The 14,528-nt window shown below is 46.4% G+C and overlaps 1 protein-coding gene across 16 annotated transcripts in view, besides 1 other annotated feature; it reads left to right on the plus strand.

Moving 5' to 3' along the window:
* The window catches only part of NRP2 (neuropilin 2), a 115,631-nt gene that overhangs the window by 39,315 nt on the left and 61,788 nt on the right, over window positions 1-14,528 (plus strand). For all 16 annotated transcript variants that reach the window (XR_007083522.1, XR_923057.4, NM_201266.2 and 13 more), the window contains 4 exons: window positions 663-893; window positions 1,970-2,125; window positions 4,098-4,267; window positions 6,076-6,231. Coding sequence is in view for 14 of the 16 variants with exons in the window: in NM_201266.2 (NP_957718.1) it covers window positions 663-893; window positions 1,970-2,125; window positions 4,098-4,267; window positions 6,076-6,231 (713 nt within the window). In the remaining 2 variants the exon portion in view is untranslated. The remainder of the gene's footprint in view (window positions 1-662; window positions 894-1,969; window positions 2,126-4,097; window positions 4,268-6,075; window positions 6,232-14,528) is intronic.
* Window positions 12,650-12,944: an enhancer, noted in NCBI's record as "tiled region #14521; HepG2 Activating non-DNase unmatched - State 22:ReprW, and K562 Activating non-DNase unmatched - State 8:EnhW". NCBI's record gives its function as "activates a minimal TATA promoter and a strong SV40 promoter by Sharpr-MPRA in HepG2 and K562 cells {active_cell/tissue: HepG2 | K562}" and the evidence as "EXISTENCE:reporter gene assay evidence [ECO:0000049][PMID:27701403]".

A 14,528-nucleotide genomic window follows, 5' to 3' on the forward strand; every position in this document is an offset into this window, starting at 1 on the left:
CTGCTGTGATCCACCAGCTAAAAACATCGATTGTTAATTGTCCGACCACTACAGAGCAGCTCGTTTTAATATAGTCATGACATGAATGAGACCCAAGCTCCCCTTTGCCCCTCCCCTGAGGCACCTTGGATCTTGGAGGGAGAAGGGGGCACTTCGTTGGCTGTGGTACAATAGGGGCTAGTGTTGAGGTCAGCAACAAATAAGGGGTAACATTGTTTTCCCTGCTGGCAATCAGCAAGGCTTCCTTAAGGATTGAAATAACTTACATTTCTGGAGTGAGCAGCTGAGTAATTGAGAAAGAAGACTCTGTTCCTCTTTTCAAGAGAATCCCTCTCTCTCTCTCTCTCTCTCTCTCATACACACACACACACACACACACACACACACACACACACACTTCTCTGTACCTCCACCCCACTCCCCAATTCCTCAATTGCTGCTCTCACTCTAATAATTATGTAGAGCAAGCCAGCTGTGCCTCCCTAATTTATGAGGGCTTGAAACGTGCATGTGAAGAGTATGTTGCTTCAAGGGCCACTCCAGTAGCAACAAAAACCTCAAGAGCAGGGGGATTTGGGGCCAAACATTTAAATAACCCATGTGACAGAGGCCACAAAGAAAGGCATCTTCTTCTTAGTGCTACAGTTCTCTTTTACATACAGGCTCTGAAGATTGCTCAAAAAACTTCACAAGCCCCAACGGGACCATCGAATCTCCTGGGTTTCCTGAGAAGTATCCACACAACTTGGACTGCACCTTTACCATCCTGGCCAAACCCAAGATGGAGATCATCCTGCAGTTCCTGATCTTTGACCTGGAGCATGACCCTTTGCAGGTGGGAGAGGGGGACTGCAAGTACGATTGGCTGGACATCTGGGATGGCATTCCACATGGTGAGTGATGTCATGAGGCATTCCTCAGTAGCTTGGCCTTTGCCTGTTAATTGCTTTAGTGATGATAAAGAGGAAGAACAAAGACTTCAAAGCTCCTATGAGTTCTTATATGACCCATGGTGACTTTCTCTTCTTCCCCTTCACTAAGGATAGCTTGAGAGAAATTACAGGAAGGCTGTCTACTTTCTTGGAAATATTTCTTTAGAAAAGGATAGGAGACTAAATAGATACTTGGAAAGGATGAGAAAACTTAAAGTGTTCATTTCTACTCCAAATTGTCAGGATAGAAGGTGGCTCAGTGGCTAACCCCTGTGACAAAACAGAAGGACTCCAGAGCCAGACTGGCCGGGCTTAACTCCCGGCTCTGCTACTCCCCAGCTGTGCAACCTTAGACAAATCCCTTACCCTATCTGTGCCTTATCTGTGTTAAGTTAGCTGCTATCATCATCATTATTACTATAATTTTAAAATTGTCATTAATATAGTCATAAATATTGAAAAGGTACATCACCCAAGGCTAACAGCCACCAGTACTTCGCAGGTGAAGACCAACATGGATCTTGGGTCTAATTAGTATTGGAGAGGAACAAATCTTTCACTTTTGTAGTCATTGTAAGTTTTTTCTAATATAAAGGAGACTTGATGACTAAGCAAAAAGAGCAATTTCATTTCCTGGGTAAATCACAAGACTTAGTCAGAAAACTTGGGTTGTAGGCCCAGCTCTGCTATTTCCTAGCAGTAAGAATAAAGAAATCACATGCGCTCTCCAAACTTCAGTTTCTTCCTCTGTAGAACAGACATTGTAATGATACCTTTCCAGCTCATCTTCCAGGCCACTGAGAACAGAATGAAGCCAGTGAAAGTGGCCTGTACCTTTTTAATGAAAAAGTGAAAGTGCTTTTTGATGTGCAGGAAAAATATTAGCCATTGTTCTTGAAACATATCTTTGGTTTTTATGGCAAGATGTACAAAGTGTGCTCCACTGAATGAAATGCAATGAGGGGAAGGGAAAACGGAGTGAAAACCAAGTTTGACATTTTGATTTCCACTGACTTCTCTTTGTCTTGAATGTCCAGTTGGCCCCCTGATTGGCAAGTACTGTGGGACCAAAACACCCTCTGAACTTCGTTCATCGACGGGGATCCTCTCCCTGACCTTTCACACGGACATGGCGGTGGCCAAGGATGGCTTCTCTGCGCGTTACTACCTGGTCCACCAAGAGCCACTAGAGAGTGAGTTGGCCGATTGGGAACCTCTGTCCTGTCCTTCCGTCAGGGCTGTGAGGGTGTACAGGTGAAGGGGGGCTGAGCTCTTATGAGGGAGGAGATGGGAACTCTACGGAATTTATGGTGGCATCTGAGTTTAGAGGTGCCCACATCCTCTTGCCAGGAAGAGGTTGATGAGAAAAGAACACATTTCAATCTGGGTGCTTCTTTCTTTAAAAAATATATATATGTGTGTAACAAGAATTAGTTATTTTCAGGGAAAGTCATGGTACCATCTCATACCTCAGTTTCCTCATCTATGAATGAAAGAGAGGCTAGTTAGGATGATCTATACAGGGCCCCTCCTGTGCTAACATTTTTTTAGTCTGTGGCCATTTTTTTCCCTCTCAAAATCTCAGGGGCAATTGTCACAAAAGTGAACCATTTTAAACCTCTCTTTCTCTGGATTTTTTGACATTAACCATCTCTGGGCCTGGGTAATGTTTTCCTGACTAGATTGGTACAACTGCTTAGACTTGGACTTCACCCTTCCACCAAAGATAGTTTGTGGAGCTTCTAGTATGTGCCAGGCACCAAGCAAGGAATTAAAAACTATCACTCTGATCACAGCTGCTGTGGGACCTGCAGTCCCTCAGCACTGAGCAACATCTTCAAATCAGCTGCTCTTGGACATGTGTTTCAAATATGCTGCCATTTCTACTTAAAAACCCAAACGATAACTTTTTTTTTTTTTTTTTTTTTTTTTTGAGACAGAGTCTCTCTCTGTTGCCCAGGCTGGAGTGCAGTGGCTCAATCTCACTCTTCCCAGTGCAACCTCCACCTCCCGGGTTTAAGCAATTCTCGTGTCTCAGCCTCCCGAGTAGCTGGAACTACAGGCATGCGCCACCATGCCCAGCTAATTTTTGTATTTTTAGCAGAGGTGGGGTTTCACCATGTTGGCTAGACTGGTCTCGAACTCCTGCCCTCAAGTGATCTGCCTGCCTTGGCCTCCCCAAATGCTGGGATTATAGGTGTGAGCCACCATGTCCAGCCCCACATAACTTTAAAGACTGAAGAAGCACTTTTAAGAAAGATTCAAGCTGTGGAAATCCTACCCTGATTGCAGACAACTCACCATATATATAACTACAGACACGGCAGCCTGGCCTGCAGGAAGGTTGCTGGGTTTTGCATTTGTTTTTTCATCAAAGAGCTTCTGAAGATTGAGTGACAAAGAAACAGTATGGCAAATTGCACCAGGTCCCGTGAATGGTCAGTGCAGTCACAGAGTAAAGAATAGGTTGATACCTGATAAGGATTGCTGGCCGATCTTAGACACATGCACACACACATATCGATCAGTGTTGATGGCATTCATAGAAGGACAGCAATGCAACTGACAGCACAGGGCCAGAGTAAGTGACTTCTGGGTCTATTTGTCCAGACAGGTGGTGCGGGGGAATAGAGAGTGACATGCATGTGCTCATGGAGAGATTTCCCAAAGACAAGTATTTATGCTTTGTAATGTCTGTCTTCTGTGCCAGAACTCACAAGACAGTTGAGTGAAAAAAGAAAGAAGCAAAAGTGCCTCCTGGGTGTTTATTAATAAAGCAGGCTTCCCACGATGTATGAGCTCACCCAAATCGCCACGAGTCTATCTCACATTTACCTGTATTGCAGTAATGGTGCATCTGGCATCTGTAGCCTGCAGCAATAACAGTTCTTGTGCTTTAGATTGTATTTTTAATCTGTATGATGATTCTCTTATTTATCCATAGCCTGATTTCTTTTAGGTCCCATTTAGTTTCTCTCAGACCCAGAGGGGTTGTCAAGCTCCATGACTTGATGTAGTTGTTTTTAAAATGTGAGCATATAATTAGGGTCTTTTAAATGAGGAAGTGCCTGCAAGGACTTGTCCCTAGAAGGGAGGCAGCATTTGGGGGATCCCGAGGTATGAGGTTGGAAGGCCTAACTGCATTTGACCGTCTGCTTTCCCCAGACTTTCAGTGCAATGTTCCTCTGGGCATGGAGTCTGGCCGGATTGCTAATGAACAGATCAGTGCCTCATCTACCTACTCTGATGGGAGGTGGACCCCTCAACAAAGCCGGCTCCATGGTGATGACAATGGCTGGACCCCCAACTTGGATTCCAACAAGGAGTATCTCCAGGTACTTGTGCAGATACCAGAGGATGTGAGAGTGTGTATGTATTGCTGGGGTAGGAGGGTAGCTCCTCAAATACAGTAGGCAGAGGACACAAAGAAAATAAACACAGCATACCTGAGAACTCCATTCATTCATTCATCCAAACAGATGTGTATGCCAGGCACTGGGTTACATGCTGGCATACACTGATCAGAGGGAGCCTGCCCCTGCCCTTGTGGGGATTACTGGGCCTGGGGAGAAGTTGTTTGGCCAGGATGCTGTTTGCCCTATCACTATAGATATCCAAGGAACATTATATAAGCTGTTTGGATCTTCCTCATTCTTGGCACAGGGAGGCATCAGGGACATGGGGGGCATTCTCCTAAGGGGAGGTTTGTTGAGGTGCTAGCTGCACATGACAGCTTCTCATGATCTTTGCTATTGGAGAGAGCCCTGCCAGGAAGGTTTTGCACAGAGCTATCAGAAGAACACATAGGAAAATGTCACTACCAGGAACAGAACTCAAGGTGCCCCAGATGCTCGGCAGCATCTCTTCAGACCATTGTTTGCTTTATTCTGAATAAACCTTGCAGCTCATGTTGAGTAATCTTCCCGCACTGCACACTGCTCCAATTCTCATCCCCTGGGAAGAAGTAAACAGGGGGAAAGCAAGCTACTAGTTCCACACCAGAGCAGTGACTGCTTTTATGACACACGTAAGACAGCCTTGTGACCCACTGACAAGCCTGTCCTAGCTCTGAGGCGACACAGTGACCTCTGCTCTAAGAAGGATATTGCAAAGCAGACAACAGGAAAGGGAGAAACACCACTTAGAAACTCCAGGGAGTCCACAGAGGTTCTAACAGTAAGCCCTGGGGCCATTTGTCATTGTCTCTTCTCTCTGCCTCTCCAAAAATCCATCTCCTCGCAGCCTGCAAAACTTCCAGAAAGTTCTGTATAACTGGCATCCCCTATCTTTGACCTTAATCATATACTTTCGCCTATTGCTATCCACCTGTTTCTCATACGTGTAGACAGCACTATGTACTACTTATTCAAATGTTTAGTAATGCTGAGCACATTGTAGGTCACCAATAAGTGCTTACTGAATTGAATTTAGCCAGTGTGTGCTAGCTACATTTTGGTCATATGGAGACTGCCATTAAGAAACACCATGGCCATCAAAGGAATGACATCCAGCAATTTCCAAATGGGTTTGGCATTGTGGGAGGGGAAGTACCTTAAAATGTTGGCCATCCTCCTCATAGAGCAAAAGGTCAGGACTCGGTGCATAAGCCTAATTGCTTGGGCAGACTCTACATGCCCTTTGACCCCTTAGTGACCTGAGCAACTAAATACACAATGGAGCGAGAGGGTGTGGGGAGGGGATGCCTCTATGAGTGTGACTTTTGGAACTAGGGCATTATAAGTGAGTTGGATTGAACTGGACAGGAGTAGAGTGGAGTAGATTCAACCTTGTTTCTTTAAAGCAGCATCTGCTTCCACAGTCCAAGGCAGGCCATCATTTACTAAGAAGGGATTATAGCTCTAGATGTTCAATGATTGAGAAAAATCGAGTATTGTCCCTTCATATTTGCAAAAGAGAGAAAAAAGAAAAATAACCTAACTTTTCAAGGTGTCTGATTTAGTGTAAGATAATGTGAGTTTAATCGTCCAATGGAATTGCAAACTGATACTAATTACAAGTATGTCTCAGTGAATCACAGATACAGGTTGGAAGCAAAGTCTAATGATTGTGTCCTTTGGAAAAAAACAAGACACTGCCCTGTGTTGGGAATGGTGGTCTCTTACTCCAGCCCTCTATTCCCCAGGTGGACCTGCGCTTTTTAACCATGCTCACGGCCATCGCAACACAGGGAGCGATTTCCAGGGAAACACAGAATGGCTACTATGTCAAATCCTACAAGCTGGAAGTCAGCACTAATGGAGAGGACTGGATGGTGTACCGGCATGGCAAAAACCACAAGGTAAATCCATGATCCTACCTTAAAGGCACATTGGACCAGGGCAGGAGGGATGGGATCAGGGGAGCTTTAAGCCGACCTCCTACAGGAGAGAGGGCCTTGTGTAGTCAGGCTCAGATAATTGATGGAGGCAAGGGTCGTGCTGGCCTTGAAAATCTTCTCTCTTAGGCTAAAGCGATTGGAAAACACCGTTTCTCTGACAGCCAGTTGCTGTTGCATCTTGCGCAGCAGAGAGAGAGAGCTTGCAGAGTGTTCTCTGACTTCAAATGAAGGAGAAAATATGTCCCCAGTCCACTTCTCCCCACCCAGGATTCACTGAACATTTATGGCCTGAGTCCCTTCCACATGCTGGGTTAACAATCACAAAACCACATGATACTATAGTTCAGGAGTTACCGAGCTCTGGAAATGAAAGGGCACAAATCCTGAGAGGGAATCACAATGTCCTGGAGAAGAAAAAGGACAATAAATAATGAGGAGAAATTCAGTTTGTTGGGGATGGGCTCTGAACTGGCAATCATGCTTAGCGGCGAGGCATTGAATTCTCTCTGCTGGTGCCTCCCGCATCTGCGGCTCCCGGAGGTGTGGTCTGTGTGGGTGATGTGGGGCTTTTGTTGTATACATATGGATGAATGTCTGGCACTCCACTTTCTTAAGACATGACATTCTGGGTCTGCAGCTGGCACAGGCGATGTGCTGGCTCTATGTGTATATACACAGCACACTCAGCCCATGGGGGCTTATTGCAAACAGCCAGGGGCTTGTGTGGGTAGGATTGGGGTATCTGTGATGGGAACACAGGGCACGATGCCCCCTGCAGAGCAGGAGCTGGTGCAGAGGTCTGGAAGGAGAGTGTGATGTCTGGGGGATTCCTAGGGGCTGCCTGTCCTTCCCTAAAAAGGAGGTAGGGAGGGAGGAAGAGGGTCTCTCCTGTAGCATTACAGTTCCACCAAGCCCTGGTCTGTCAGAGTGTGAATTATCAAAATGGGGCACATGTGGCCAAGCCTAGGGAGGCCAAAGATCTTTTCCAAAGGGAATCTCCTCAGCCCCTGTCACTGCCCCGAGGCAGCTTGCTCTGACTGGTGCAGCTGGAAACCTCAGACCCAGAAAATTCTGAACTGTGATGTTGGCAGTCTCACTTGGGAAACGGGAAAAGGAGTAGATTTTTAAAAAATCAAAATCACCATAGTAACGGGGTACCACTCATCTGAAAACCATGGCTTCTGGATATTACCAGGTATCTCACACACATGCACACAATTGCCCGATTTCCACGATAAGGAAAGTGAGGTACTTAGCAATTGAAAGATGTGCCAGGCCAGGTCTGGTTTCCCACTGACTTGGTTTCAGAAAGACTTACCAAGCATCCGTTGGGAATGCCCAGCCTGAATTGGCACTGGGTGCCAGGAGCTTGGGGGCTGAGACCTGGTTCCACCCCACCCTTTTCAATTATAAACCGGTAGATCTCGGAAGCTCAGCTAGCAGACGAGGGCCAGAAGCCAGGCAGGGGTGGTCCCCGGGGAGAGGAGTGGGGCTCACCTGATTGTCTCCCTGTCCAGGCGCAATGACTAAGCAGCACAGGCCCAGAGGGATACTGTAGCATAAGCTGTTTTAAAAGCATGCAGATGGACCAGGATGCTATTTAAAACATCATTTGTAGGAAATCTGCTTTTGGAAATACCTTAGCACTGCACATTTTCATAGAATGCTGTCCTCCCTGGCTTTATCCCTGGTATTCATTCTTCAGGAAAGATATTCCTGAAATTGAATTTAGCTTTCTGGTTTTCAGAATTATTTTTCTCAACTTTTTCATAATGGATATATTCTCTCTCTTTTGCCTCCTCTTTCCCCACTTGGCTAGATTTAGTTCCCCAGCAGCCAAGGGGTAACTTGAGAGTTTTTTTGTTTTTGTTTTTGTTTTTGTTTTACTGAATTAGTCGTGCCCAAATAAATGGAGTTGGGGCAGAGGAAAAGCCCATTCTCTTCCCCATTAGAAATTCATCCTTTGTGTACTTAGAAGGAGGCAGGAAAATGGAGAGCCTGCCAATTAGGCATCGCCCCACTCTCCAAGCTCCTTCACCCCACTGCGGGTGTGGTGGACGCCCAGGGGCTTTCCTTGTCTCCCCTGCAAGGATGGTCTCAGCTGCCCCTTCATTAGCAGATCTTTCGTTCAGATATCTGTATTTAATGTGCAGATTCCCCCTCATTCACGGTGCGTCAGCGCAGCTCTCTGGGCTGTTGGGGTTGAAGTAGTTGAGTGAACCGTGCCAAATAGATTTGTCAAGTCTGCCGCAGTTTGATTTGATGCCATGGGGGGAGGTGGGGGTTGGGGAGGGACTTGGGGGCAGTGGAGGAAGAGGCTTCGTCCATGCCGAGTGCCACCACTGAGTTTCTCTTTGTAGCTGCTGGATGGTGGGCACTGTGCCAAGCTAACTGGTGCTAAGTGGTGGGCTTGAAAGTGAAATTCAGACAACAGGAGTTAGCAGAAAAGCAAAGCAGAGATGAAGGCAACCGCCTGCTCTGCTCTGCTCTGCTCAGAGCAGAGGGAAGGTTTGCAAATGCCTTCCCGGTGTGCAGGGAAGGAAGAGGGAATAGTGACATTTGGGACAGAAATGTGGGAACTCGATTTCAACTCCCTGGTCACTGTCAACAGCAATGCAGCATACCAAAGACCAGGGAATTGGGGAAGTCAGAGAAAAACAAGTTTAATGAGTGCTCAAGGTGGCGGGGGAGGGCTGTCCTATGTCTTTGCAAAACACTGTTTACAATGTGGACCCAGACGGGGCTGAGGCAAGGCCTAGGCCTCTGAAAGAATGCCTTCCTTTTTACTGCCAGTGGGTGAGAAAGACTAAGGAACTCTTTTCCAGCCTCCCCTAGCCAGGCAGCAGCCTGTTCTTGGTCTCTTCCCATCCAACAGGTCATCATGAGGTCGCCTATGAGAAAGTGGTCAGTCACACTGTTGCTGGGGCATTGCAAGCCTCCTCCTGGCAAACGCAGCCTGGTTACACAGGCCACATGCACAGCACATCCCAAATCTTTATCCAATTCCACATGCCATAAATATGGAACCTATGATTCTCATACAGGGTGGGCCCGCCTTATGTATATTTATGGCATAACCACAAGGCAGAGAGCTCATCTGCCTGATGGAATCCATATCCAACCCACGTGCTCCTTTAGATTATACAAATTGCTTTGCATACATTTCTTCAGAAACCACAAGCAGAAATTACTGCTTTTGGTTTCCCCAGCTATATTAATAACACCCTAGATGCAGACATGGCATTGTTAATACAACAGTAGAAGGTTCATGTATGTTTACATAATTATAGGCACAATTATGTACATACATACCAAGAAGGGCGCATGGAGAGCAATGGGAAGAGCTCAGAGGCACAAGGTCTTGGTCTAGTTCCTGCCCTCCTGAGATGCTGATTCCATGATTCTGCACTGGGGATAGGCTGTGCCTCGGGAATGGAACCACAGCTGGTGACAGGACACGGGGGAGAGAGACTACTGCCCTTATTTGTCTAGGCAAAAGCCCTTATCTTCAGTTCCCTCTCATTCGGTAAACGTGGGGATCTCCCTTGTTGACACAGCTCTAGTTAGTCACAGTGTTTCTGGGCTATTCTGATGCATTTGGAAGAAATTTGGGCTAAAAGAGAAAGTCTGTGGGGTGCCAAATGCACGCTATTGGCCAGATCGAGGATGGATGGGTGAAGATAGGGATGAGGTAAGACTTGGGTCCAAGAATTTTCAGAATTACCCCACCAGGAGTGGAAGGAATGCACTGAGTTCATCACATTAATGTAAGGATGACCTCCAAGGGACTCAGAAAATCCTCAGGCACCAGCTTATTCACTAGAGTATTTCACAGAGTTTCACAACTGTGGAATTGAAGCTCTTAGAGATTAAGTGCCTTGCTGCAGGGACTAGGAAACTGGAGCCTGCATGGACGGCGCCTGGTCACCAGACTTGGATGTCCAGACTGGCGCTCTCCACAATCCGCCCTAGGCCTTACTCTTCATCTTGAGGGAAATTGGCTTCCTACATGTTCAGTCCAAGGACTGAGAGGTACACATTTTCCTGGAAAGCCTCCTCTTCAGTGAAGTTCTGCATGCAGGATGAGCCTGTACATGGCTTAACCCACTAGGCTCATTATTGTGGAGCTGGGCTTCACCACAGAATCATGAGGATGGAGAGTTGAAAGGAGTTGCCATTTGTTTGATTTGGCCACATCCCTTCAAAACAAATAAACACTCCACTTCAAAAATCCTCTATCCCATATTTATTTTCTAAATTAAAACAAATCATTTTTAAATCAGAGACTTGGGAGGAGAGAAAGAGTGGTGTCAGAAAACCAAACCCTCAAATCAGTTGGCTAACAGCTAGAGGCACGTGATGTCTATTTTCAGATCTTCTTAAACAGGGCACCGTGTGATCTTGGAAACATCTCTTAGTGGCTGCACGCCTCAGCGTTTCCACCCAGTCCAAATGGAATGGCGCTGCGGCTGCTATCGGCAAAGCACCTTGAGATCTGTAGATGGAAGGCTCTCCGCGGATATAATTAATGGAGTAGACCCACAAAGCTCTTCTTGAGCAGAAGCAAGTTATCAATTTAAAAAGTAAGAAGGCCCCATGGGATATTTATGGGCCTCTTTTAAAATCATAGGCCTGGAATGGACCATGATAAGTCATCCAGACCTTTCCCTGCATCTGATGGGGCCTGCATTGAGCTGCCTCAGATAAATGTCATCCATCCCAGCCTCACTGTTCTCTTAGGGATGCAATTATGCTTCTACTTGATCATTTAAGTTTTCAGGAAAAACCTTTTTTTTAAAAAAACCTCCTGGCAGATGATGGGCTTCCCCTTATTCCTTTTGTGGTAGTAATTTTGTTTGTTGAATATGAGATGAGGACAATACCTCACACTGTAATGGGCACCAGCCTTCAGAAGTCATGTTGCGTGTGCTCTGAAGGGGGCTGATACCCCTTCCAAGTTCAAGTCCCTCAGTTTATCTGACCCTCTCAATTATAATGGAGAAGGATCCAGTGCCCTAGGTAATTAAGTTTGTCCCTTATCCATTTGCCATGGGATGAGCTCAGACCTTTAGCCTCTCCACTTAGGAAGCTCAGGGGAAAATTTCATTATACAGAAGCTTGAACCTTTTCTCTATCAGGCTCCCGCGGCCAGCGTCACCCAGCTCCCGTGGGTGCTGAACTGTCTCCAGTAGCTGAGGCGCGCCTCCCTGGCGCTGATAGCCTTGATGTTAAACTCCAAGGCCCCGGCTGTGCACAGAGGCCAGTGACAAGGAGCACACAGAGGGGATGTGGAAGGGCGCTGTGATTCTGCTTGGGCTGTGGAATCATGTTCCTTGCCCCAACCCCAACTAATGTAGATGAGCACTGGAGTGAAGCCCTCACCTGGTAGATTGTCCTGCTCTCTGATGTCACCTTGTCCCTGCTCCGGTTTGCAGAGCCTCCACCTGAAGAGGCAGGCAGGTGGCAGAGGTCTCTGGAACCTCACTCCCTGTTCCCTCAATCTCTCCCCACCTGGGAGTTAAAGGCACCTCCTTAAGAAAACCCAAACATCTGTGTTAGGAGGTTTCCAGGGGTGGAGGGCCCACCCCACCCAGCTAGAATGTCCTAGAATGTCCGAGTTTCTCCTTCCCTCTTCCTAGGACATTGACTGTTCCCCCCAAGCCCGCTCATTGCTCTGATCCTGTGCTCCTCCCCCGCCTGCTCTTCTCCAGCCCCACCCCTGAGCTGCCCTCCTCCCCGCTCCTCCCTGATGCGTTCCTGTCTCAAATCCTGAAACCCTAATCCTGTTAGTATGCTGTGTTCCAGGCCTCAGCGTCTCGATGGGGGTAACATAATCCCGCAGTAAATCTAGCGGGCCCCGCAGGCCCACACAGATGGGGATGCGCACATCCCCGCCCCCCAGAACGCAGCCGCCCCTGTGCCTCTGTCTCCTCCTTCATGTAGGAAAGCTGCCTGATGACAAAAACAGCCCGAAAGTAAAGGAGGATGAGAGCAGAGGTCATCAGAGTCCTAAATGTGCATTTGGTTGTTAGACAGCTTCTTTGCCTACCGGCATCCCTACCTTCTCTTAATCTCTCTCTGTGTTTATATATATATATATATACATATATCTATGTAAAGTATACACGTGCACACACACACACACACATGCCTCTAACTCTATATCTGGCTAAGTTCCCACATCCACTAGAATGAAACAAGCTTTAAAACAAGTTTTTAAATTGTCTTTAAAGGGGAGTTTTAAAGGAGAAAGATCAGGACCATGATTCACAAACAACAAAAAAAGCCCATTGCCTTCATATCATTTCCCACCGCCCCCCCCCACCCCGCATCGCAACAGTTCCCTCCCCCTACTTGACTGTTTTGTGCAACAAATTAATTAAACAGGATGGCATTCATTGATTAGCAATTTATTTTTACGTGTAGACCCAATGGCTGGTTTCAGAGCAGATGCAAGGGAAGGGGGTGGGAGAGGGAGGACACACAGATCTGCAGTCAGGGTGAGCGGATGAGTCAGCACATTTGTTCCTGACACTAGTTTTAAAAACATGCTTCTGGCTTCCCCCAGCCTCTGTCCTGCATTCCTGCCACTTTTCTCTTCTGCCTGCTTTGTTTTCCCCCTTCTTGAGTGTCTGTGCCAAGTACATTGAAAGGGAGAACTTTGGAGGCAATGAAACATTTATTAGTGGAGAGAAATATTTATTTTAAAAAAGAAGAGGAACATCTCGTGCACAATGTCTACCCCAGGGCTCCAGCACTGCGCTGTCTTGGAAATATTTCCCTGCTTTCTTTGCAGTCCCTGGAGCTGGCTGACTTCAGATATTTACAGCAAAATAGAAGTAAACAGTAGTTCACACCATAGGTAATGAAGAGATGGGAGTGTGCAAGCTGAGTGCTGAAGCGCTACTCACATGAGAGGTGGTGCACGTGAAGAGAGACTGTTTTTGTACCCCAAAGGGCCCGCCTCATTTGGGAAGGGTGAAACAGCCAGCCGTGTCTCTCCTCCAAGGAGCTCAAAGACTTGGACAGAATCTTCATCTTAGGCCCCAGAGGCAGGCATGATGACAGGTAGCATCTACACTGTCCTGGGCACATGGGTATTGATAGCAAAGATGAATGGTATATAAGAAAAGGCTTTAGGCTGGGCAGAAAAATTCCTCTGCCTAGAGGCCTAGAAGGTAGGAAGGCTGCAAAGCTCACTGTCCTCAGCTATGTCAGTCACTGCATATTCTTCAAAGACAACTTAAGGAGGGGTCAGCAAAGAAGAGGTGACTGTGACTAGAAATGGGGTGGGAAGCAGAGAAAATGTTCTGAGATGGCCTCAGAAACCATCAGTAATGCGTTCTGGCTGGATGCTTCTTATTAGATTTTATATATATATATAATTATATATATAATGTATATTATAGAATATATTCTATATAATATATAGAATGAATATATTCTATAATATATATTACATTGAATTATATTGTCCATGCCTTGTGGACTCACAGGAATGGTCAAAATGCACTGATTTTCTTTGCCTGGGAGTGTAGATAACAACCAAACTGGGATGCTGGATAGCAGCTGATTTAATTGGCAGGTCCCCCACTCCCCTAGAGGTGCAAATCAGAAAATCCAGGAAATGCTGATGGTTTTCAGGTTCTGGGCTACTGAAAACAAATCAGAGGTCTCAAGAATCAATTGAAAAATGCTGGATTATATTCAGAATTCAGAGAGGCACCCAATAGATTATCCAGACCACTTTGTGCCCTGAATCGCTTTTTAAACTTGGTTTGCAGAGATGCACTTGAAGAAATCTTTATGTTCAACTTAGCTCTTTTTAAATACGCACACACATATATTTTTAATAATTACAACATAATCAACACTAGCATCAGAAAGCTAGGGTCACCTTGAACATACTTGTGATTTTCCTTTGGGTAGTAAACAACCATACTAAGATCTTTCTTTTAAAACAAATAAAAAGTGGGCCAGGCATGGTGGCTCACACCTGTAATCCCAGCACTTTGAGAGGTCAAGGCAGGTGTATCACTTGAGGTCAGGAGTTCAAGACCAGCCTGGCCAACGTGGTGAAACCCTGTCTCTACTAAAAATATAAAAATTAGCCAGGCTTGGTGGCGCATACCTGTAATCCCAGCTACTAGGGAGGCTGAGGCAGGAGAATTGCTTGAAACCGGGAGGCAGAGGTTGCAGTGAGCCAAGATTGTGCCACTGCACTCCAGCCTGGGTGACAGAGCAAAACCCCATCTCAA

This window comes from Homo sapiens, chromosome 2 (assembly GCF_000001405.40).
Source record: "Homo sapiens chromosome 2, GRCh38.p14 Primary Assembly".
Lineage (NCBI taxonomy): Eukaryota > Metazoa > Chordata > Mammalia > Primates > Hominidae > Homo > Homo sapiens.